Genomic DNA, 25,209 nt, shown 5'->3' with positions numbered 1-25,209 from the left:
TAGCTGGTGGTTACTGCTGAGGGCTGACTGACCCATTCATGTCCAGTGAGTAAGTCTGACAGGGCTGTGCTCTGGCTTGAAAGAGGTCCTGTACGCTCTGCCAAACCCTAAATTCCTACCCATATTCCCATCCCAATTACAAGCAGAATGAGGACCTGCCAGTGCTACTTTAGACATAGAACAGAAACCTTCCCACTTAGCCTGGTGCATCACGGCAGGAAGCTACAAGACAAAGCCAGGCCCTGGGGCTCCCAGTTAGAGGAAGTGAGAAAAAGACGTGTACCCTGGGAAGAAAAAGGGATGCATTTCCGTTCCCATCCAAGCCTCACTTCCTTAGAAAGACATTTCAGGTAGATTAACACACCATCTCTGTGCTGTTTTCCATATGCCATTTGGGGGGGCATTTTGTGGTTATTTTTAAGAGACTGCACTTGTAACAAAACAAAAAGTAAGCTTTCTGTTTTCCTTTCTGGGTCATGAGCTGGTCTCAACCCTCCAAATTCAACTGTCACTGGAAGTCTTTGTGGAGTTGGAATTTCTATTGGGAGTGGCTGTGAAGGTAGGAAGAACATCAGCAAATGTGGTGATATGGTTTGAATGTGTTCTCCCAAAGTTCTTGTGCTGGACACTTAATCCCCAATGCAACAGTGTTGAGAGGTGGGAACTTTTGGAGGTGACTGGATTGATGTTATTATTGTGGGAGTGAATTTATTTAAAAAGTAAGTTACCCTCCCTCATGTGTTCTCTTGCCATGTGATGCCTTCTATCAGGTTACTATGCAGCAAGAAGGTCCTCCCCAGATACAGCCCCTGATCTTGTACTTCCCACCCTCCAGAACCATGAGCCAAATAAATTTCTTTTCATTGTAAGTTATCCACTTTTTTTTTTTTGAGACAGGGTCTCACTCTGTCACTCGAGCAGGAGGATTGCTTAAGCCTGGGAGGTCGAGTCTGCAGCAAGCTGTGACCACGACACTGCAGCCTTGACCTCCCAGGCTCAAGCAATCCTGCCTTAGTCACCCAAGTAGCTGGGACTACAGGCATGTGCCACCCCACCTGGTTGATTTTTGTAATTTTTGTGTGTGTAAAGACAGATTTTGCCATGTTCCCCAAGCTGGTCTCAAACTCCTGGGCTCAAGCTCAAGTGATCTGCCCATGTTAACCTCCCAAAGTGCTGGAATTACAGGCATGAGCCACTGCACCAGGCCCCAGTTTCAGGTATTCTTATAGCAGCACAAAACAGACTAAGACAGACACACAATGTCATAAAAATGAAGGAGAAGAGGGGCTTAAAAAGAAAGAAGGCACTCTGAACTTTTCCTACAGATAAACTCACTTATATAGGAAACTAGGAAGTTATTCAAAGGGTGATGTAGAGTTAGATAAGCAGATAAGAAACAATCTCCAAGACAGAGGGGAATAATGCAAGATACAGAAATTGTACACAGCATGCTAACATCCTTGTGTGTGATGTAGACTATTTCTGGGCCTGAACACATCTTCTCTAGAAGGTCACACAAGAACCTGGTTGCAATGGGTGTCTCTGGGAAGGAGAACCAGGAAGCCTAGCTAGGAGCCATGGGTGAGGGGAATCTTAATTTCACTTTGTAGCTTCTGATGCTGCTTGAATATTTTATTTTTTCACATTTTTTTAAAGGAGAAAGGATTAGAGCACCTAATAATATGGTGAGGTCAAGAAAGATGAGACAAGCTTATGAGAAGAGGCAGTTTTCAGGTCATTGATGACTCAATGAGAAAAATATCAATAGGATGGCGGGAGCAGAAGCCAGATTGCACCAAACTGAGGAAACAATAAATTGTCATCAAGTGGAAATAGCAGGAACTGGCAACTCTTTCAAAAGTGTGTTTGTATGCAAAGTAAGGTAGGGTAGTAATCATAGCAGTAGTAAGAGTAGTAGTAAGGAGGATTCCCAGGTTTGAGGTAGGGGATTTTTAACATGAAAAAGACATAGCAGGTTTATGCACAAAGGAGAAGGCCAGGATAGAGTCAGAAAGGACAGCTGCTGTTTTTGCCCAGCCAGCAGGCATTGTCTTTTCTTCTAGTGACAGTGGCTTTATTTTTCTTTTTTTCTTTTTTTTTTTTTTTGAGACGGAGTCTCGCTCTTTTGCCCAGGCTGGACTGCAGTGGCGCTATCTCAGCTCACTGCAAGCTCCGCCTCCTGGGTTCACGCCATTCTCCTGCCTCAGCCTCCCGAGTAGCTGGGACTACAGGTGCCCGCCACCGCGCCCAGCTAATTTTTTGTATTTTTTAGTGGAGATGGGGTTTCACCGTGTTAGCCAAGATGGTCTCGATCTCCTGACCTCATGATCCACCCGCCTCAGCCTCCCAAAGTGCTGGGATTATAGGCGTGAGCCACCACACCCGGCCATGACAGTGGCTTTTTTTTCTTAAAGGAGATATTCCTTCTCTTCTTTCAAAATGTCTGATTTAGATAGGACATTCCTTCTCTTTTTTCAAAATGTCTGGATTAGATCCAGCTCTCTGGCTAAGAGGGGCTGGTGACCCAGGCCCGGTCAATCAGCACATTCCATCCCCCTGGTGCAGTGAGCAATTCCCTTAGAGATGGGCATATGACCCAATAATCTTCCAAAAAGATTGAGTCCTAGGCTGCTGGGATTTTATAAAAAGGAAGCCCTTTTCTTTGGTAGAAGTTGCAGAGATAATGGGACATAAATTGGGAGTTGCTATGTGCCCAAGAAAGCCTTCTGAGAATGAAGAATGAAGTCAACACAGTGGGGAAAGTAATCCTAAGGGATATAGATAAATGTTTCCCTGCTGGCATTGTTTGGGACCAGATGTAGATGATCCATCTACATCTGAATACTAACTATCATTATTTTTTGCTTAAAAGTCAGTTTAAATCAGATTCCTATTTGAAACCATAGGAGTTTTGTTGATACAGAGAGAAGCTGTAGACAGACTAAACAGGGGAGATAAGCATGAAGGATCAAGAGGCTGGAGTCCAGAGCAGGAGTGAGGGTAAGTCTCACATGAGTTGGGGGAGGGAAAACATATTTGCTAAGACAGAGATGGAAGCTGGGCAAGGAGGTCAAGATGACTATGGAGGTGCCGGTAGGTGGTAAGAAGCTGACGGCTACCAACCAGTGGCACCCATGGGCCTCAATCTTCCTCACGATTTAGGGCAGGGATCCCCAATCCCTGGGCCATGGACCAGTATCAAAATAACAATAATAATAATAAATAATAATATAATAGTACATGACTCAAAGTCATGTATCTGGTAGGTTCTATGGTTGACTTGCCCCGCCAAAGTTCATGTGTTAGAAACTGAATCTCCAATGCAACAGTGTTGAGAGGTGGCACCTCATGAGAACTTAACAACATTATCTTGGTAGTGGGATCCTAATAAAAGGGATGAGTTTGGCTCCGTATCTTTCCCCTGCATGTGCACACACATGTATGCATATGCATATATATGCACACACATGCACGCATACTCTCTCTTGCCCTTCACCTTCTGCCATGGGATGACACAGCAAGAAGTCTCTCACCAGATGCAAGCCCCTCACCCTTGGACTTCCCAGCCTCCAGAACTGTAAGAAATAAATTTCTTTTCTTTATAAATTATCTAGTCTGTGGTATTCAGTCATAGCAACACAACATGGACTAAGACAGAAACTGATTTAGGAACTTCACCTGGCTCAGGAACCTGACAATTCCAACCATCTAAAGGGAGCCTGGTTTGATCTGAAGTTTAAATGGGTTCTCCATGGGTGTGTAGATAGGTGGAGAGAGATAAACAGACTCCAAGCTGTGTGTCCTAAATGGCTCTTGGCTATTTGTTTGTCAGTATATAAATGTAGGTTGATATTTTTATTAAGATCTCTGCAAACTCCACACAGTGGATACCCCAAAAGAACAACCAGAAATGAGCAGGGAAACCTCTACTCCTTAATGAGCCTGTCTCGGCTGCCTCATTTCAATGCTGCCATGCCCTTCTTTCAGAGGTTAGTCAATGCATGCCGTCTTTGTCAGCCTCAAAATCAAAGCCCTAAGGAACAAATAAGATTTGCATCTTTTAAAATCCTGACAACGAATTATAAAAGCTGTGAAGATGCTACTTATTTGTTGCAATATTTTAAAATAAATTTAAATCATTTGAATTGTAAGAATACTCAGTCTTTTTCTATTATGTAACAGACACCATTCGATGGTGTTATCATGACTCTCCTGGTAGCACAATCACAAACCTTACCAGGGGCTCCAAGTGCTTCTAATAATCTTTACAAGGGTCTTGTGCAGTGTACAGTCCAGGGATCAAGTCCTGGCTCCTCTGCTTTCTAGTTGCTGGACCTTGGGCAAATGCCTTAACTTTTCCAAGCTCTAGTTCCTCATCTATACTGTGGTGATAACCCTACCTTACAGGGTTGAGAGAATTAAATGAGGCAATTCATGGAAGGCAGTTAAAACAGTGCCTGATGCAGACAAAAATGCAATATATTTTCTAATATATTTGAACAGTAAAGGTTTTATGAGAATTATTTTAAATCACAATTTTCAAAAATGAATTGTTCTCTTGAGTATTTGATACTTTGGGGGAGTTAGGTTCTGTGCTTAAATAAATCACATTGAGTAAGTGTTAGATCCTTTTCTTAAGGCTTGAATTTGGAGTTTTAACAGCAAACATACAAAGGTTACACTTTCTGGATTCAATTCAGAAATGTCAGCACATCAAACACACACATTCAGACACACACACACAGAGGCACTTACTCATACAGTGTAAAGGGCAATTGGGTTTGGAAGAGAATGTCACATGAACAGATTCGCAGCTCATTAAAGCAGTACTTGAAGCTTTTGACCTCAGCTACATAAACAATGTTTTCAGATGATAAAATTGCTGAGAAACCAAGTCCTGTGAGTATGATTTAGTTTCTGAAGCAGTTCAGCATTTAGACTCTCAGAGGATACGGGCAATGGGATGTGATCAGATAGCCCAAGTAGTATTTTGGAAATGATACTAACAGAGCATAGGACAAGGACCTTTGCAAGCTATAAAAGCTTGCCAGGTTTTCAGCCTTTCCTACTGTCCAGATGCCTCAAAATTATGGGGCTTTAAGTAAAGTGCAGATAAGAATCGGTAACAAGAGCAGAAATGATTGGAATCAGTCTGTCATACAAGTGGGTTTGGAGTTAGTGAGGCCTGACACAGGCTAGAATGGAAGGAAGGAGGGAATGAGCATTGTAGTGATGTCTAGACAGGACTGGATGGTTGCTCCAATGTCAGGAGTGGAGGAAAGGGGATCTTAACGTCTGCTTCTCATCAGGTTGTACTCCTCAAGCCCTGCCCAGAGAGCATTGACGATCAGATGCATCATATTTTAGAACACTTGACAATCTGGTTGACCATATTTTAGAACAATTGATGATCTGATTGATAATATTTTAAAAGAATACTAGAGCCATGTTTACTACTGGGCAGATCATTGTACACACACTTTAGCGCTTAAGACTCCACAGGTGCCAGGCACAGTGGCTCACGCCTGTAACCCCCAGCACTTTCAGAGGCAGAGGTGGGAGGATCACTTGAGGCCAGGATTTTGACACCAGCCTGGGCAATTAATTAAAAACAATGAAAAAACAAATAAATAAAAAGCAGAAAAGACTCCAAGGACTCTAATGAAGCCTACTTAGCTTTCTCTTCCTCTTCACCTCACTGCTTCTATGCTGCTACCTGGGTTGTCTTCTGAGGCGGCTGAATCCTTGTACCCTGGGCTCATCCCCCTACCCAGTTTTCACAGTAAGCCCTTCATTAGGTGTTATGGACACTATGGGAGCCTTTCAGAGGAAGAGTGACAGGACTTCATTAAGCCAATTCGTGACAATACATGAATGCCACCAAACTCTCCATTAGGCATTTCAATGTGAACATATTACCTAGCATATCTTGTCCTGTGACATTATAGCTCCATGTACTACCACTTCTGCAATAAAATATGCTCATCCATGCCAAAGGCTCAATGCACCTTTTGCTACAAGTCAGCAAAATTCTGAGCTGGATCACCCAGACACAAAGCAACTCCCTGGGTACAGCCCTCAGCCACTGCACCCTCCGATATCACTACATTCTTTGCAACAGGATGGACAGGAGGAAGTCCAACCAAGAGCACAACCATGTCCTCCTGCTCTATGCCCTGCAAGCCAGCGCTCTGTATCACAGAAGCTTTCCTGACCATCTATTTCATTCATTCATCCTATTGCTACTGGGACCAAACTCTTGGCTACCATGTTTTATACTTGAGGAGCAATCATGTGGGCAGTCTGCAGGGACTCATGTTCATCAGCGCCTTCATGTCTCCATGAGACAATGACTGAGTGCCTACAAGATGCCAGGAACTGGGGAGGACCTGAGGATGCCAACTTGGGGGTTCTCAAACAGCCCCAACCTGCCCAAGCTCCTATCACCTTTTGCCTGGATTATGGCAAGAGTCTCAACCAGTCTCCCTGATTTCACCCTTGTCCCTGCAGCACTCAGAGGGATCCTTTAAAAACCCAAAGTCAGAACATGTTATTTCTTGGCTCATGAGTTGGTGTAAAAGCCAAAGATCCTTCAGTGGCCTGTGCTTTCCTTTGGCCTCTCTGATCTCACACCCCCTTTTCCTTTCTCCCTCAACCCCTTGGCTCAGGCACCTGCACTCCTTGCTCTCCCTTGACCATGCCAGGCAAGCTCCTGCCTCAGGGCCTTTGCATCTGCTACTACCAACCAAATCACTCTCCCCCCTCACCCAGATATATACATGGCTCCCACCTCCCTCATCTTCTTCCTGTATTTGCTGAAACGTCATTTTCTCCACCTACTCTATCATAAGGACATCTCCCTGACCTGGCTCTTCCAATCTCCATCCCTACTTCAGCTTCCTGCATAATGTTTATCAACTTCTGACACATCGTATATTTTACTTGTTTCTATGTTTATTATTTTGCCCACTCTCCCTAGAATATAAGCTCCATGAAGGCAGGGATGTTAATTATTTTTAGTGCTATGTTTCCATCACCTAGAACATTACCTAACCTCATCACCCACTGAATGGATAACTCAATATCTGACAACATCCCCACCAGAGGACAGAACCAGCACACGCTTCTTCCCAAGCCACTGCTCCATCATGCACTCAGCGACAGAGTCTGCCCTTTAGTACCCAAACCACCACCTTCCTCCTACCACATGCTGGCCAGCAACAGCCTGCTGTGTGCCCTGAACAATAACTTCACCAGAACATTCTATACTTAACTGTATATACCCCTTCACTACAGTCCTTACTACACAGGGTCTACCTACTGCACTGCTACAACAGGTTCTGCCAATCAACTCACAGGCCTGCTGCACCCTGCAGCACTGAGTTCTAGCCCCTGCTACATAAAGGTGGAGTCCCTGGCCCCACAGTGTCCTATCCCCTGGGAGCTTGTGAGAAATGCAGAATCTGAAACCCCACCGCAGACTGGCTGAGTAAGAATTTTAGCCAGATACCCAGGTGACTCGTGCATGCACATTAAAATTTAAGACACTCTGCAGGGCTACATCATGGCATCTGTAACACTGGATTGGACTGTGCAAGGTTAGGCTGCAGGAAGCTGCAGATCTCTCTACCCAAAGTCCTGTGATTCAATGCATTGCCTCTTCAGATCCTTCACCAGCACCCTCTCCCAGCACACACTGCAAAACCACACGATGCCATGACAGTTTGCAAAATCAGCAGCCAAATTATAGTCCTTTATAAATAGGGTAGTAACTTACACAACAACCAATTTATTTGCGATACCCTGCTGTACATAAGAAAAACACCATGCACTCTAATATATATCCCAAAAGACTCCTTTATGTTCCACAGCACACTGTGTTACAGCATCTTGTTCTATGGCCATTCACTCATTCAGTAAGAATTCCTGAGCACCTATAATGTGCTAAACCCTATGCTAGGCACTGGGATTTGACACAGAGAAAGTCACAATCTTAAAGTAGTCAAAAAGACAGGCATGAGATTGAACATGTTATTACAGCCTGTGATGAATTTCTTGATGGGACAGTAGCAGATATCTACTCAGGAATCAACAAGAGCCTCCCTGAGCGGTTGATGTTCTACTGATTTGATGAGGGGGAAAAGGCAAGGCACGGTGGGGATCAGGGGGCTGGTGAGAGCATAGGAAAGGGCTTCGGGCATCCCAGGTGCATGGCTCTGCACAGATGAAGCAGGCAAGGGAAAACAAGGCACTGCATGTTTGAGGGACTGAAAGAAGCCCAGGAATGCTGTTCTTGGAGTCAGGAGCTAAAGCTAGGAAGAGGACAGAGATCTAGCACTGGAAGACCTCAAAAGCCATATATGCCAAGGAGCAATAGATACGAGACTGGGGCAACAGAGAGCCATTTGGGTGTTTTAAAGCAAAAGCAACACACAACCAGGCGAACATTAAAAAAGAAATGACTCTTGTTCCCTGCAACAATACACCAAATCTAGTGTATTTCAATACAGTTTCAAACAATGCTCTGTGAACAGCTCCTTGCCACAATAAAAGATGGCATTGAGAACAACTTAGAAAAACCCATTTAAAGTTATTTTAATGAACCTCCAATAATAGCACCCTTCACTGATGTTTGAACATAATCCTCTGTTATTGTTCCTTGTTTTTTCTCTCACCACACTCTATTTAATAGCATGCATGAATCAGAAACGCTGACAGATACATGCATGCCTTTTCACATCCCACAAGGCACATGGAACTCTGCACACGCTCACCATGGGCCTTTTGGAAGTGGCAGACAGTTAAGAAGGGGTGAGGAAGGAGAAATATAAAATCCTGGGATTGGGGGGAGGAGGGCTCTCATGCAATGCATTTGCAATGTAAAAGGCATACAGGCAGGCTGGATCAAATGGGTAGGTGATGTATCTTTTTTTTTTTTTCTGAGACAGGGTCTTGCTCTGTTGCCCAGGCTAGAGTGCAGTGGCATGATCATGGCTCACTGCAGCCTCAACCTCCCAGGATCAAGATCCTCCCACCTCAGCCTCCTGAGTAGCTGGGACTACAGGTGGATGCTATCACGCCCACCAACGTTTGTATTTTTTGTAGAGACGGGGTTTTGCCATGTTGCCCAGACTGGTCTCAAATTCCTGGGCTCAAGCAATTTGCCTGCCTCAGCCTTCCAAAGTGTGGGGATTACAGGCATGAGCCACTGTACCTGGATAATGTATCATTTATTATTATTTCTAATTCAGTCTAAGGAGACTGAAGGTAGCACCTGCTCCTTTAGAGCTGGTACCAGAACACTTTGAAGTATGTAGCACAGCCTGATCACTGTACTTTGAAAGTCATTGTTAAACCCACATGGAGGAATTCAAGACACAGGTCAGTGGGAAATCATATCAAATGCAGAACAGTTGAGGGATCTCGTTGATAATGACTAAGTATTGTAATCTTTTTATATTATCAATGATAATAACAGCTACCTTTTCCTGAGTGCTTTCTATGAGCCAGGCACGAGGCTAGACCTCTTATATTCATTACTGCTTAGCAGGGCTATTCAAAATATTTAACCGGTCAAAATGGACTCTGGTTGTAAATAACCATTGCTAACAGATGCTGGCTAAATAGCAACCTGACTTTGAACCATCACTACCCCTGAGGCTATAAACCAACAATGCATGGGATACATATGGGTGTGGGTGTGTTTTATTTGCCCCAAACTGTGTTTAATTTTCAAAAATTTGTTCTGATATATAAAAGAAATTGTGAGGTTTTTTTTTTGTTGTTTTTTGTTTTTTTGTTTGTTTGTTTGTTTTTGAGACGGAGTCTTGCTCTGTCACCCAGGCTAGAGTGCAATGGCACAATCTCAGCTCACTGCAACCTCTGCCTCCAGGTTCAAGCGATTCTCTATCCTCAGCCTCCCAAGTAGTTGGGACTACAGGTGCATGCCATCGCATCTAGCTAATTTTTGTATTTTTAGTACAGATGGGGTTTCACTATGTTGGCCAGGCTGGTCTCGAACTCCTGACCTCAGGTGATCTGCCCGGCTCAGCCTCCCAAAGTGCTGGGATTACGGGTGTGAGCCACTATACCCAGCCAAAATTGTGAGATTTTATATAAACATCTTAACTTTATACACCCTTTCACTAAGCCCTTACTACACAGGGCCTACATACTACACTGACTGTAACAGGATCTGTCAATCAACTCACAGGTCTGCTGCATCCCACAGCACCGAGTTCTAGCCCCAAATACCATGAAGATGGAGCAGCCCTGAGGAGGCTGCATCCTGCGGGGCAGGCCATCGGGAGGTGAACATCAGCTGAGCCTGTTAGGTAGATCACCTGCTCTCTGGCTTGCATCGATCTCCAACACTTTCTCTTCTATCTCACCAGCCCTCTTCCCTCATTCATATTATCTGCTTGGCCTCTGTAGGCATCTGAGTCTGTGACCTCTTCTGGAAGCCATCACCCCATGCCCTGACTAGAAGGAGGACCAGTGTCTTCCACTTAAAGAGATGATTCTCTTGGCTGGGTGCAGTGGCTCACACCTGTAATCCTAGTACTTTGGGAGGCTGAGGTTTTTGGAGGATCACTTGAGCCCAGGAATTTGAGACTAGCCTGGGCAACATGGCAAGACCACATTTATTTATTTATTTATTTATTTATTTATTTATTTATTTATTTATTTATTTATTTGAGATGGAGTCTCACTCTGTCGCCCAGGCTGGAGTGCAGTGGCGCAATCTCAGCTCACTGCAACCTCCACCTCCTCGGTTCAAGTGATTCTCCTGCCTCAGCCTCACAAATAGCTGGGATTATAGGCACCCACCATCACACCTAGCTATTTTTTGTACTTTTTTAGTAGAGATGGGGTTTTACCACGTTGGCCAGGCTGATCTCGAACTCCTGAGCTCAGGTGATCCACCCACCTCGGCTTCCCAAAGTGCTGAGATTATAGGCGTGAGGCACCGCACCCGGCCAAGACCCCATTTATTTAAAAATAAAAATAAAAAATTAGGCAGACATGGTGGTACACTCCTGTAGTCCCAGCTACTCAGGAGGCTGAGGTGAGAGCATCGCATGAGCCCTGGAGGTCGAGGTTGCAGTAAGCTATGATCGCGCTACTGCACTCCAACCTGGGTAACAGAAGAAGACCCTGTCTTTAAAAAAAGAAAAAAAAGGAGATGATTCTCCATGCTACCTCCCTCTGGTCTCTGCCTAGCTTCCCTGGCTGAGCTCCTAATGCCAAACTCCACAGCAGTGATTCTCAACCTTGAGAGCTCATCAAGTCACCTGGAGAGCCTATTAAACACAGAACACTGGGCCCCACACCTAGAGTGTCTGATTCAGGAGGTCTGGGGTGGAGACCAAGAACTTCATTCCTAAAGTGCTCAGGAGATGTCAATACCGCTGGCTCTGACACTGCATACTGATACTGCATACTGATAGACAGCACACTTTGCAAACCACTGCACTACAGCTATAACATGACCCCCAGATGTCCGCTGGGTTCTATGCTGGTGGGGATGGGAGCGTGTGCATCTGGCCAAGAGAGGAAAGGGAGGTCCACATTTCAAGATCTCATAAATAACCCCACAAAAACCATATGAGTTATGCATCTCACCTCTGAGTTCCCTGTTTCCTGAACAAAGAGCTCACTCTTCCTTTCCAGGTTACCTTTTCATCTTTTTCCAAATGGTCCCATAAAAGCTGTGATGCTGCTCATGACATGTGGGGCCCTCTTCGACCCCAATGTACACACAGATGTTATCTTAAGGAATAGCAGCAGCAGGATTCTGCCCCTCAAAGACTCTACACCGGGACATTAATTAATGTATGACACAGCTAACGAAAACCATGATCAGCTCTCTGTGAGTGCCTCCTCTGTACCAGGCTTGTACAAAGTGCTTTATGCATCATAACAACCCTCTGATGTCAAAACTATTATCATTACGTGCCTAGCACGTAAGTGCTCAAGAAATGAATAACAATACTAGTATCAAAATAACTACCATTATTATCTTCTTCATCTTAACACTCAAACCCTTACAACGTTAGGTTTCAATGATGGTGTTTATGTTCACTCTTCAGCCTCAGTCAGTAGTTTTACAACCCATCATTGAGTCACCAAGTCTGCCCTCTATTTAATTTCACAAGGAAATATCCTCCCAGCAGAATAACAGTTTGATTAATTCAGGTGTAAACTCTTCTTTCCTGATGCCGACAAGTACTTCCTGCTGAGTCTTTGGGGATAGAAAACCTTCCTGTTGGTACATGGACTGTGGGAAATGTGAGAGTTTTATTCTTGCATTATAAAACTTATGTCAAAGCCATCTCCACACCCAAACCCTCCCGGAGGGGGTCTTCAGTTCAAGAGGACTTCAGTCTCTGCTTCACTCTGTTTTGCCTTGGGTGGGAGCTGGCTGCTGAACTGCCATCTTATTTACTGACTCAGACATAGTGTATGTTTCAGAATTAAATTTAAATACTGTTGAGATAAACAACATGACCTTTTCAATGTCAGTATGAAGAAAAAATGACACAGTTGAACCAAGAGAAAGAATGAGGGCAAAATTAGATCCTTTATCACAGTCCAAAAATGGATCTGAACTCTGCTCACCCAAGAACCATTCTCAGAAAGTTGTCAGCTAAGACAGTTACAATAATTGAATCGAAGAAACAAAAATTCAATAGGCATCGTCGTTTCCATCTTTATAGAGACTAAGCTGGGCCAATGGAAAATGTCCATCTTAGTAACCAGTGATTTTGTGCATATGTGTGAATACATACACCCATGTTCCAGTAGACACATTGACGTCTACCCCTCAGGGAGCATTTGGAAAACATGAGGCACAGGCAAGAATACCTTGTGTGTGAATACCCGGCAGTCAGAGAGAATGGGCTACTTACAGCTTTTGGCTTATAAGGGGGCTGGATCTCTTTGCGTTCAAGTTTCTCCCAATCAATATACCGGAAAAATGCATGCTCTTTGATATCACGTTCGCCTTCAGGTCCACAACCCAGACGTTTGCCTGGGTGTTTGGTCATCAGCTTCGAGAGAAAGAAAAACATTGAATTTGCTGAGTTTCAGAAGAGGAAATGTAAGACACTCAGAAATTATTACTCCAATGCATTAGGAAAGAAAGCGCAAATGAAGAATCTCAACTCATTTTTGTTTTTTGCTTTTTATCCCAGCAAAAAATCCCAGCCAGGAATTTGCAGGAGAGGACCTGATAATAGGACCCACTGCCAATCATCTGTTATGGTTAATCAAAACGAAGCCTGAATGTGGCCGTGAACTTCAAGTTAGAAATGCCACATGAGGGCCAGGCACAGTGGCTCACACCTGTAATCCCAGCACTTTGGGAGGCCTAGGCGGGCGAATCACAAGGTCAAGAGATTGAGACCATCCTGGCCAACATGGTGAAACCCTGTCTCTACTAAAAATACAAAAATTAGCTGGGTATGGTGGCACACACCTGTAGTCCCAGCTACTTGGGAGGCTGAGGCAGGAGAATTGTTGAACCCGGGAAGCGGAGGTTGCAGTGAGCTGAGATCGCGCCACTGCACTCTACAGTCTGGCGACAGAGAGAGACTCCATCTCAAAAAAAAAAAACAAAACCAAAAAAACAACCAAAAAAAAAAAAACAGAAAGAAAAAAATAAATGCCACATGATCCATTTATCCATTTTGGTTTAAGAATAAGTTTTGTGCAATTACCAGTGCATTTAATTAGGACAGTTTCAATATCTTCAAACTTCCCTCCTCCCACAACAAGAAAACTGGAGTTTGACAAAAGCAAAGGCTACATTCATTCAGATACCATTTGCATTTCTCAGTAAAGCACTTGCAAAAATGACAAAACAGAAGAAAAAGTATTAGTCAAAGGGGCCCAAGTTTCAAGTAATTACTTTCTGAAAGCCCATTAAATAGTCAAAACCTAGCCCAGCTCATTTCCCTTGTATCATACATTACACACAAAGCCGCTGAGGTTTCTTTGGTGTTCCGTTTAAATTACTTAATTATCAAAACCCTCCATCTTTGGGTCTCTGAGTGCTAAATAACAAGATGAATAGATGCGCCAAGATGAAACCAGACAGGCTTCCTCTTGTAAATGAGTCCAAAGCAGCATGAAAATATCTCTGATCTCAAGACTTGAGCAAATGCACAGGGAGTAAAGACAGAAGAGTTGGTGATTAATTAAAAAAAAAGAAAGAAGCATACAAGTCCAAAAGCTTTCCAGAGTTGACATCACATTGAGAAGCCCATGATGGCAGAATCTTCTGCCCAGGACTTGCTGATGATGGGGAAGGAATGAACCCAGAAATTCATTCCTACACTGTTGGACAGTCACTCAGCCTGTTGCCCCCTCGCAAGATAATTTGTGGTCTCACACACAAGCATGTACTTGTCATATAAAGTGTATCCTCCAGGGTGGGGAAATTAACTGAGCACTTACATTCTAAGCTAGCTACTTCTTTTTTTTTTTTTTTTTTTTTGAGACGGAGTCTCACTCTGTCACCCAGGCTGGAGTGCAGAGGCGCGATCTCGGGTCACTGCAAGCTCCACCTCCCGGGTTCACGCCATTCTCCTGCCTCAGCCTCCCGAGTAGCTGGGATTACAGGCGCCCACCACCATGCCCAGCTAATAATTTTCTTGTATTTTTAGTAGAGACGGGGTTTCACCATGTTAGCCAGGATGGTCTCGATCTCCTGACCTCATGATCTGCCTGCCTCAGCCTCCCAAAGTGCTGGGATTACAGGCAAGAGCCACCGCGCCGAGCTGCTACTTCTTTATTTACATGCATGAGCTTCCCTGATCATCATAATAACCCAATGAGGTGAGTATACTATTTTTCCCATTTGAATAAAAAGGCAATGAACACTCAGAGAAGTTGAGGAACAGTAAGGACTCCAGAGAGGAAGTGGTAGAGTCAGTAAGAGCTGGGTGCAGACTCCACCTCTGCCTAGCTCTAAAACTTGGGCTTTTAAGAAAAATGGGAGTGCATTTCACACGTGGTTTTCTCAGGAATTTTTGTGGCCTGGCTTTGTCAGGAGAGGTTTATGGAGGGTGAGGAAATTGAGCCAAGGCTTGACATTTGTGTAAGATTAGGATGGGAGGAAAGAAAGGGCAGTGAGGTTTTGGTTCACACTGATAATAACATCAATAACGGCTTCCGTGTACTGAGTATGACAACATCATATGCGTTCAGGCTCCGTGCTAAAGGCTTCCCGGCCATTACCCATTACTCTTTAAACTTTGCAACAATACTCTAAGGCCTCAGCAACTATTATCCCCCATTTTCCAGGTAAAGGATGTGGGTGCAGAGAAGTAAAGTCATCTGCCTAAGGTCAAACAGCTAAGGAGCAGGGCAAGGCTTTGAACAGCTCTGCCTGGCTCAGGACTCTTATAGCTTTATGTTCAGTCTCAGCTGTTCAGTGTCTGCTGGTTTTCACCCTAAGGTCCTGTCTATTTGGGCTTCTGTTTGCTTCAAGTTTGTTCAAAGTGGGAATAGCCATCTGAGTAAGGTTTTACTAATTTTTTTTTTTTAGTAGAAAATCGGGCCTTTAAGGGAATGGACATATAAAGGACACTGCTTCAATTAAACAGGTGACTGTTTTCAAAAGCTCAACTGAATTTCTGTCTAAGCAGGAGGATGCCAAGCAAAGAAAAGGTACTGCAAAAACATCCAGCATTAATTCGGAGTCTCTGCCCAGTTCCCGCACTCTGCTCTAATGTGCCCGAAGCCATGTAGACAGCTGGATTTAATCACTGTTCCAATCTCTGATCACCTCCCAGACGTATCCCCTGGGGCTCGCTGTTCCAGAGGAAGCATTTGGCTGTTTGCTTGAGCATCACTCGTTTTTGGAGTACCCTCCTTGAAGGAAGAGCCCCATTGGACTCAGCCCACTCAATTAATAATGGTCCCCAAACTCAATAGTAAGAGAGTCACCCCAGTTAATCATGAAGGTTATGGGTCCTGAATTAATAGAAAACGGCTCTACCAGGGAAACTGCTAATTGGAGCAGGAGCTGAAGGCAGCTGACCTGGAAAATGCTCTTTCCTCCATGACCCATTTAGAACCCCCAGCTGTCCAGGCAGGGCGGGCGTGTGAAGGGGAGGACCCTGTGGATGTATTAAACACCTACTATGTGCCCACATCATGCAAGGAGCTTTCTCTTATGTTATCTCATTTAATGCTCTCAAAAACTCTTTTCAATGAGTACTACTATTCCATTTTTTAAAATAAACAGAAGCCCAGAGATGCAAAGGAAGTGGCTTAAGATCTTGCACCTAGGCTGGGTGCAGTGGCCCATGCCTGTAATCCCAGCACTTTGGGAGGCAGAGGCAGGAGGATCCCTTGAGCCTGGGAGATCAAGGCTGCAGTGAGCCATGATCACTCCACGGCACTCTAGCCTGGGCGACAGAGCGAGACATTGATAAAACAAAACAAAACAAAACAAAACAAAACAAAACAAAACAAAAACACCTTGTGCCTAGAAAGTAGAAGGGTCAAGATTTGCAAAGGGTCCCTTGATCTCCAAAATCCCCTACTTTAAAAGTTGCAATTCCAGGGGATGCAAACTCAAATGCCAAGAGGAACCTGGCAGATAACACAATAGCGTCAGCACTAGTAATAGTAATAATAACTTCCAAGGGGCTTGGAGCAGAGTGCCAGCCTCTATTCTAAGTGATTTACAGTATTCAGCTGTTTAGTCATCAAAGAACCCAATGTGGAGTGCTATTATTATCCCCAATCTGCAGATGCCGTCAAACAACTTCCCCAAGGTCCTGCGGCAATTAATGCCTGAACCAGGATTTGAACTTGGAGAGAATTGGCCAAATGAGAACGTCTGAGAATTACAGAGGGCAAGCTCCAACTACAGAGGGCCATGGTTTCCAATCCAGCTGACTGGTGCTTTGTAAGAATGACAGGCCAATGTGGCAAGATCTGATTTTTCAAGAGAAACCTGAAAGCTGAATGTTTTTGAGAAATCTCTGGATCCTTATATGCTGGTAATTATTAAACAAACTAAAAGCTCCAGGTACCACCTTCTCTCTACCCGCCCCCACCCTTCAATAACTTGTCTACGGGGGCCTGTGGAGGCCTTCGTGTGTGCCTTTTTTTTCTTTATGGGCTTTGCTTGGGTTCCTAATGCACCTCTGGGACTCCCCTCTCTATTCTTCACTTTCTTTCTCCCTGCCTCACACCCTCAAAGAAAATATTTTCAAGCAATTCACTTTAGATGTTCGGGATTGAGACTAATTCACAGGTGGTTTCCCCAGGGATACATGCATCTTAGCCTATGCAGCTGAGGTGCAAACCTTAGGTGATTCATTGAGAGTGGGAATTTAGGCAGTGTGACAAGGCGCTTTTAGGCTGAGAGGCTGGCCCAGCTATTCCAAACTGGGCCAAGCCTCAGATTGGCCTGCCTGAGTTTCCCAGCTTTCCTTCACCCAAGACAGTGCATCCAGCATCTGGCTGGGGTCAGGAAGAACAAAGTAGGGCATGAAAAGTCTGCAAGCATCCCACAGATCTAGGACTGGCAGCCCTGGTTTATTCAGACACACAGGTGGGAACCCACTGATTAAGGCACGGCCATGTTCTAACCTGTACCACTGGGTGGAGGGAGAGCAAATCCTTTATTAGTATATTATGTGTAGAACATATTTTCTGGGCGTCTAATTCTATTGCTTTCAGGCTTCCATCAGAGTTGAAAAATCACTTCATTTGGACAGTATTTTTAAAGGCAGTGGTCTGCAAGCCAAATGGAGACTTTTCCAAAATACTCATACCCAGACTTAATCTCTGGGGTAAGGCAGAAGCATGTGCATTCTGGTAAGGCACTTCGGGTTATTCTGATGGCTCCAAAGGTGAGGGTCGCTGATCTTTAGGATCTCACAGAAGTCACTGTGAGTATGCCCTGGTCCAACACAAGATGCAAAACAAACAATCCTTCCCCATAAACACACATCCTGCTTTCTTCACAGGTGCCCTGTGCATAAACCGTAGATGTCCAAGCGTGCATGCCCTTTTAGCCATTTGTGTGTGTGTCTGGGGAGAGGAGACAGTGGGATTTTGAGTACATTGAATTTCAGTCTGCTTATCTAGAGAATTCCTTAACCTCAACACGGCGTGGTATTTTTTAGAACAAAAGTTGCACGCTCTTAGTATTAACTAAACACATACAGCAGAGCAGGGCAAGATAGCCTGAGTTGTGCAAAAGACCTCTTGTGCCCTTTCCCATGACTTCCAGCTCTTTGACAAAATCTCTGTGCTTTCTACCTCATTCATTCAATAAGCATTCCCCTGTGCTGGTTCAGAGACTGCAGCCCAGCCAGCAGCAAGACGCAGCTGCAGGCAGCTCTCTACAGCACTTCTGTGCAAATCAGAAAAAAAGCTCTCTCTCCTCCGGGAGGTAGCAGCTCCACATCAGGGTTCTCATATTGGCAAATGGAGTGAAGGGTGGAGTTCAGGCTGTGTTCCCCCCTGGTGGGGTGTTCTTGGGCAAGGTACAGCCCACATGCCTTTATGTGGTGGTCCTGGTCACAGCTTTAAGAGATGCACTTACCCCTTTGCAGATGGCCACAGCTTCCTTGGACATAGACTTGGGATAGGCTACGTTGTGTTCCATGATGGATTGGAAGAGTTCATCTTCATCCTCCCCTTCAAAGGGTGCCTGTATGACAGGGGAGGGTGGGAGGAGAAGAATCCCTGCTTGAACCCTCCCCCTAGCTCCCCTCAACTGGCAGACCCTCCTCCCTGGGGCCCACAGTGAAGCCACACACCCAGGCTTTCAAATGACCACAGACTTGTATGACCCCAAGGCCGGGAAAGTCATAGAGGTTCCAATTTATGAGCTGTTACCAAACATGCATTCTCCTAAAGAAACCATGTGGATGGGGGTAGGGAGGACTTCTCTTATCGATCACTTAAAATTCAATTACCTGCCCAGCCAACATTTCATACAGCAGGACTCCAAATGCCCACCAATCCACGGACTTCCCATAGGGCTGATAAGCAATTATCTAGAAAAGAGAAGGCACCCTATCAGGGAGGTTTGCAGTTCATGTTTCTTCTGGAGACAGATTTCACTCTTCTTTTACAAGAAGGCCAGTGCCCACCTGAACTGTTTCTTTATATTAGCTATTCAGGGAATGACAGACATGCTTTGCAGAGGCACCTGCAGCTGGGCAAACACCTGTGGCTGTCACATTGCCTTTTCGAAGCACTAAGTAAGGTGTATTGTTATTATTATTTTCAAAACAGTGAGCATGGAATTTTTAAAAGGAAAAACTGTCTTTACTCCTCTGTAAAAGTTACAACATTTACACAATAATGTAAATATACTTAACACTACTAAATTGTATACTTAGAACTGGTTAAAATAGTAAATTTTACGTTACATGTTTTTAAAACATAATTAAACATAAAAACGTTTAAGAGATAACAACATTTGTCACTATTTTAATATTTCTTTATAAAAGATAGCTCAGCTGAGATAATAACATGAAAATCACCCATAATCCTTTATTAAGAGAAAAATTATGACTAATATTTGGTCTACTTCATTCCATACTCTTTTCTCTGAATACATATTAAACTCTGTGTGTATGTGTGTGCTTTACATAAACACTTTAGTATTTGGACGATTTTTTTTCTTTTTTTCTTTTCTTTTTTTTTTGAGATAGTGTCTCTTTTTGTCACCCAGGCTGGAGTGCAGTGGTGAGATCATAGCTCACAGCTCACAGCCTTGGCCTCCTGGGCTCAAGCAATCCTCGCACCTCAGCCTCCTGTGTAGTTGGGACTACAGGTGCTCACCACCATGCTAATTATTTAATTTTTTGTAGGGATGGGGTCTCTCTATATTGCCCAGACTGATCTCAAACTCAAGCAAAGCTCCCATCTTGGCCTCCCAAAGCACTGGGATTATGGGCAATAGATCTTTAATAAAGCCAGTTATTCACTTAAGTTTTCCTTGCTAATTTAATATTTGTATATGAACATAATCAATTTTTATCTGTGCATAGCATTCCGTTGAATGGATATACCAAAATCTATCTTATAAATTTCCAGTTGATTAGGTTTCTTCCAATGCTGTAACATATATTCTTGTAATTAGACATTTGGACATCTGTCCAAGTATTTCCTTAAGATAAACTCCTAGATGTAGAATTGGTGTATCATATGGTATATATGGTTGTGAAGTTTTTAATTCATATTCCCAAACTGCAAGAACATGGAAAAGTCTAGAAGAGCTATGTGATTGTCCATCTTTCAGTATGCAGGGATGTAAAACTAACCATGTCAGAGGTTAAGAGGTAATACAGCAAAGGCTAAAGGCTGAGGTCTGAGGGTTAGGCAGTCTGACTTTGAATCCTGACTGCTGTCTACCGGTTGGCTGTCTGACCACAGGAGAAGTTACTTAACTTCTATAATCTCTATATCATGAAGTTATGTGAGGATGAATGAGATACTCGGTGGCTTTCACATATTATGCCCTCAAAATGTTAACTAATCCTAGAATGTTTTATAATTCAGTTATTGCTTGTTTAACTCAAAAAGGGTATTTGAGCAAACTTGGCTATAAAGTGAATGTTTGTTTCTTGATCTCTATCTCCCACTTTGATTTCTATTCCAAAATCAGAAATGCAGAGATGTTGATTACAGGATACAAAATTTCAGTTAAGTAGCAGGAATAAATTCAAGAGACTTATCGTGTAACACAGTAACCATAGTTAATAACAATCTATTGTATTCTTGAAAATTGCTAAGAGGGATTTTTAAGTGTTTTTACCATAAAAAAATAAGTATGTGAGACAATAAATATGTTAATTAACTCAACTTAGCCATTCCACAATGTATGCATATTTCAGAACAACATGTTGCACATGATAAATGTATACAATTTTACTGGTCAATTATGAATGAATGAAATGCATTCTGAGAAGTAACCCTCAAGACAAGGAAGGGAAAGCATTCCAGGAGAACACTTCTCATTGAACGTGTTTTCCACTTTGGGAGGCCGAGGCGGGCGGATCACGAGGTCAGGAGATCGCGACCATCCTGGCTAACACGGTGAAACCCCGTCTCTACTAAAAAAATACAAAAAAAATTAGCTGGGCGTGGTGATGGGCACCTGTAGTCCCAGCTACTCGGGAGGCTGAGGCAGGAGAATGGCATGAATCCAGGAGGCAGAGCTTGCAGTGAGTAGACAGAGTGAGACCCTGTCTCAAACACACACACACACACACACACACACACAAGAAACAATGTGGGATGCCCAAGCATCATCCCATTAGAATCTCTGCAGGTGGAGGCCCAGGATCTGTGGTTCTCAGAAGTTCCTCGCTGGTCGTGATTCAGGCAAGCACAAGAAACCCTCAACTGTGTGGCTGGTGAAGTTGCCTCCCCTCCAGCCCACAGATGGGAGGGATAAGCAGCAGGTCAGGCTTTGTCATGAGCTAACCACATCACCTTCGGCAACTGCTGTCACATCCCAGGCTCTAGTTTCCTTTGTAAAAGGATTAACTTGTTGGCTTGTCATGAGGATCAAATAAGACTTGAAGTACTTTAAAAGTGTGGAAACACTTTCTTTCTTTCTTTCTTTCTTTTTTTGAGACAGAGTCTCGCTCAGTCGCCCAGGGTGGGGTGCAGTGGCATGATCACTGCTTACTGCAGCCTCTACCTGCTGGGCTCAAGTGATCCTCCCACCTTAGCCTCCTGAGTAGTCAGGACAGCAGGGGTGACCTAGTGCACCTGGCGAATTTTTAATTTTTTTTGTAGAGATTAGGGTCTCACTATGTTGTCCAGTCTGGTCTCAAACTTCTACCCTCAAGCGATCTTCTTGCCTCAGGCTCCCAAAGTGCTGAGATTACAGGAGTGAGCCACCATGCCCCAGCTGCATCCTACATTGTAAAAGCTCCCTCACGACTCTAAACTGCAGTTAGAGTTGAGAACCAGAGATTATGGAACCCCTGGCCTATCAGGAAGTTGTGTTATGGATTGTGTCCTATCTAATTAATTAACAAAATGATAATAGACCAAAGCATATCACATAGGGAAAACTTCACTGGGTCCGAGTAAAGCCTTATTATTTTTAAAGAATTACTTTATTACTCAAGTAATACCCAAATACATTTACCTTGTAAAAAATGTCAGCAGTATACAGAAATAGCTAAATTTCTCTTTACAATTCCCTTATCCTCAGAGGTAACCAGTGTTATAAAATCAGTTTGAAATCTTCCAGATTTTTGTATGCTTTTACTCATTGAAAACAGAACAGTGTTCTGTGTATTTCTGTTTCATCCATAAATAGTATCATAGTGTTATTTGTCATTCTTCTTCTTTTTTTTTTTTTTTTTTTTGAGACAGGGTCTTACTGTGTCACCCAGGCAGGCTGGAGTGCAGTGGCATAATCACGGCTCACTGCAGCCTGGACCTCCTGGGGCTCAGGTGATTCTCTTACCTCAGCCTCCCAAGTAGCTGGGACTACAGGCATGTGCCACCACACCCGGCTAATTTTTGTATTTTTTGTAGAGACGAGGTCTCGCCATGTTGGCCAGGCTGGTCTGGAACTCCTGGGCTCAAGTGATCCACCTGCCTCTGCCTCCCAAAGTGCTGGGATTACAGGCGCGAGCTGCCACACCTGGCCTTGTATTTGTCATTCTGTACCTTGATTTTTTTCTCTAACAATGTGTCTTGAAGATCTTTTCACATCTACATATATATCTAACTCACTCTTCTGAATTGGTGCCTGGTAGTATTTCATGCTATAAATAAATCACGGGCTATTGTCCATTTTCCTGCTGAGGGACATATACAGGACACAGATCCCATGTCATATGCCAGCCCAGGGGATATGCTCTTTTTCTCTCAACAAACATTTCAATGTCATAATTAGGCGGTATCACATGGCCGTGAGCCACAACAGTTTGACGAAGAATTTTACTGATGTGTGTTGGATGGTTCTTTTGGGTTTTATTTAAATTTTCTCCCAAACCTTGATGTATTTTGGGCTTGGGCTTCTGGATGTGTGCTAAATTAATTTGCATGTGTGATCTCAAAGGGAGGATTTAGAGTATAGAATAAGAATCTGTCCGAGGTTCCCTTGCAAGGTACCACCCTCAACCCTTCCCAGCTCTCACACAGCCATCTGGGGAGCAGAGGGTACATCACCGCAATGTGAACGTGTGCCCAGCAGCTCTCACCTCGGGGGCGATGTAGTCTGGAGTGCCACAGAATGTCTTGGTTGTCACCCCATCCCAGATGTTTTCCTTACACATGCCAAAATCGGCAATCTTGATGTGTCCCTCAGAATCGAGCATCACGTTGTCAAGTTTTAGGTCACTATGGCAGACACAAGAATTTAGAGATTTAATTAAACGCTATGCATTTCAAGCCAACCAACAGCCACTCATTATGCATAAAACACTGTGTTAGGTGTTGTGTGGGCACAAAGGTCAGTAGAAACCAGCCTTTGACCTCCAACAGCTTACAGTCTGGCAGGGAGATAAAAAGAGGTCCGCAAGCCTCCGTGCTTTTCTTTTTCTACACAGCCAACTGTGCCAAGTGTCTCACAAGGACACAAAGAGACAGCACTTCTGAAAAGACGGAGATCCACAGAAAGTTAAGCAAAGGGCAGAGCATCCATGACGCTTCTTGGATCCAGGAAAATTCCAAGAATTTTCCTTTGCCACTTAAAGACTCCTTATATTTTGTAAGAAGATACATTTTTCAGAAAATTATTATTTTTTAAAATATCTCTAAAAATTACAAAGAAAAAAAGAAGCTGATTGAAAGAAATATTTAATGCTAAGTGTTCCCTGATCTCTTGGGCCACCTTCTAGGACATGACCCAGGAGTTTCCATCAATTCTTTGAATCAAAATACATTTGGCAGGGCACATTGGCTCACGCCTGCGATTCCAGCACTTCGGGAGGCCAAGGCAGGTGGATCACAAGGTCAGGAGCTCAAGACCAGCCTGGCCAATATGGTGAAACCCCGTCTCTAGTAAAAATACAAAAATTAGCTGGGCGTGGTCGTGGGCGCCTGTAGTCCCAGCTACTCGGGAAGCTGAGGCAGGAGAATAGCTTGAACCTGGGAGGCAGAGGTTGCAGTGAGCCGAGATCACGCCACTGCACTCCAGCCTGGGTGACAGAGCGAGACTCCGTCTTGAAAAAAAAAAAATGTTGCACAATTACTATGTGACAGGCACTATGCCTGGAGCCAGGTATAGTATGTAGCAGTAAACAAGATAAGCAAGCCTCCTGTTCTTCAGATTAAATTTCAGTGCTGGGAAAAAGATAACAATTACTCTGTAAGCATGATTATTACAGATTCTGATAAGTGGTATGATGAAAATAAAGAGGACATAAGATAGTGATTGGAGGAAGTCACTTTAAGCAGGGTGTCAGTCAGAAAAGACCTGTCTAAGGCGGTGACATCTGAGCTCTAACCTAAAGGATATGTGCTGTATTCTCTTTTATTTTCATCTGTGTTGATGAGAAGAGCTTGATATTTTGGGGAACAGTTGTAGGTCTTTAGCACACAAGATTGCTCCAATATCAACACACTTTCCTCCTCCCTAAACACCTACTCCAATGTCAATGCTTTATATTTCTGCACCAGTGAGCAAGGCTGAGAGATGGATCGGTCCTAATAGAAGATGGGGAAATCCGATTTCCTGAGAGGTAGGGGGATCTATTCCTTAATTCAGATCTTTCCCTTCGGTCATCTTGATTGGGTAGTGGGCATCTGTGGTTCTGTCTATTCTAGTGTTTTGTGATGACAGCATTCTAATATTTCTTAGAAGAACCACCCTCCTTCAATTCTTCCATGTAACATGGGTGTAACATGGCTTCCATGTAACATGGCTCCAGCAGTGGTCAAGTGGGCCTGTCCCAGCCAATGGAAATATTCCATCCTGCTGGTCACAGTGATTGATTCAGGAATGGGCATGTGATCCAATCTGGGCCAATCAAAGCTGTTAAGTATTAGTGCTGGCACTTTGGCTGGCATAATCAGGAAAGGGATAAGTGCATTTTACATTGGGGTTGTTCAGGTGGTATTATGGAAGTCTAGAAACTCCAGGGGTCACCAGATGAAAAGAAGCAATCTAATATAGAGAAAGCAGAGCCTAGAGGGAGGGTGATAAAATGTGCCCTCATAACGTCACTTGAGCCTCTGCATTTATCCAGGCCTAAA

General features: G+C 43.8%; 1 protein-coding gene and 1 non-coding gene across 4 annotated transcripts in view; both read right to left on the bottom strand.

Moving 5' to 3' along the window:
• PRKCB (protein kinase C beta) overlaps positions 1-25,209 on the bottom strand; it is a 384,629-nt gene that overhangs the window by 16,470 nt on the left and 342,950 nt on the right. For all 3 annotated transcript variants that reach the window (NM_002738.7, NM_212535.3, XM_047434365.1), the window contains 4 exons: positions 23,214-23,352; positions 18,951-19,031; positions 18,575-18,682; positions 12,912-13,052 (listed from right to left, as the gene is read on the bottom strand). In NM_002738.7, the coding sequence (NP_002729.2) occupies positions 12,912-13,052; positions 18,575-18,682; positions 18,951-19,031; positions 23,214-23,352 (469 nt within the window). The remainder of the gene's footprint in view (positions 1-12,911; positions 13,053-18,574; positions 18,683-18,950; positions 19,032-23,213; positions 23,353-25,209) is intronic.
• On the bottom strand, positions 911-1,026 carry MIR1273H (microRNA 1273h). Its single transcript, NR_106996.1, has one exon. It is a non-coding gene; the product is annotated as a microRNA 1273h (primary transcript).

This window comes from Homo sapiens, chromosome 16 (assembly GCF_000001405.40).
Source record: "Homo sapiens chromosome 16, GRCh38.p14 Primary Assembly".
NCBI classification, from domain to species: Eukaryota; Metazoa; Chordata; class Mammalia; order Primates; family Hominidae; genus Homo; species Homo sapiens.
Note: the sequence above shows the minus strand (reverse complement) of the source record. Positions and strands in the feature narration are given on the sequence as shown.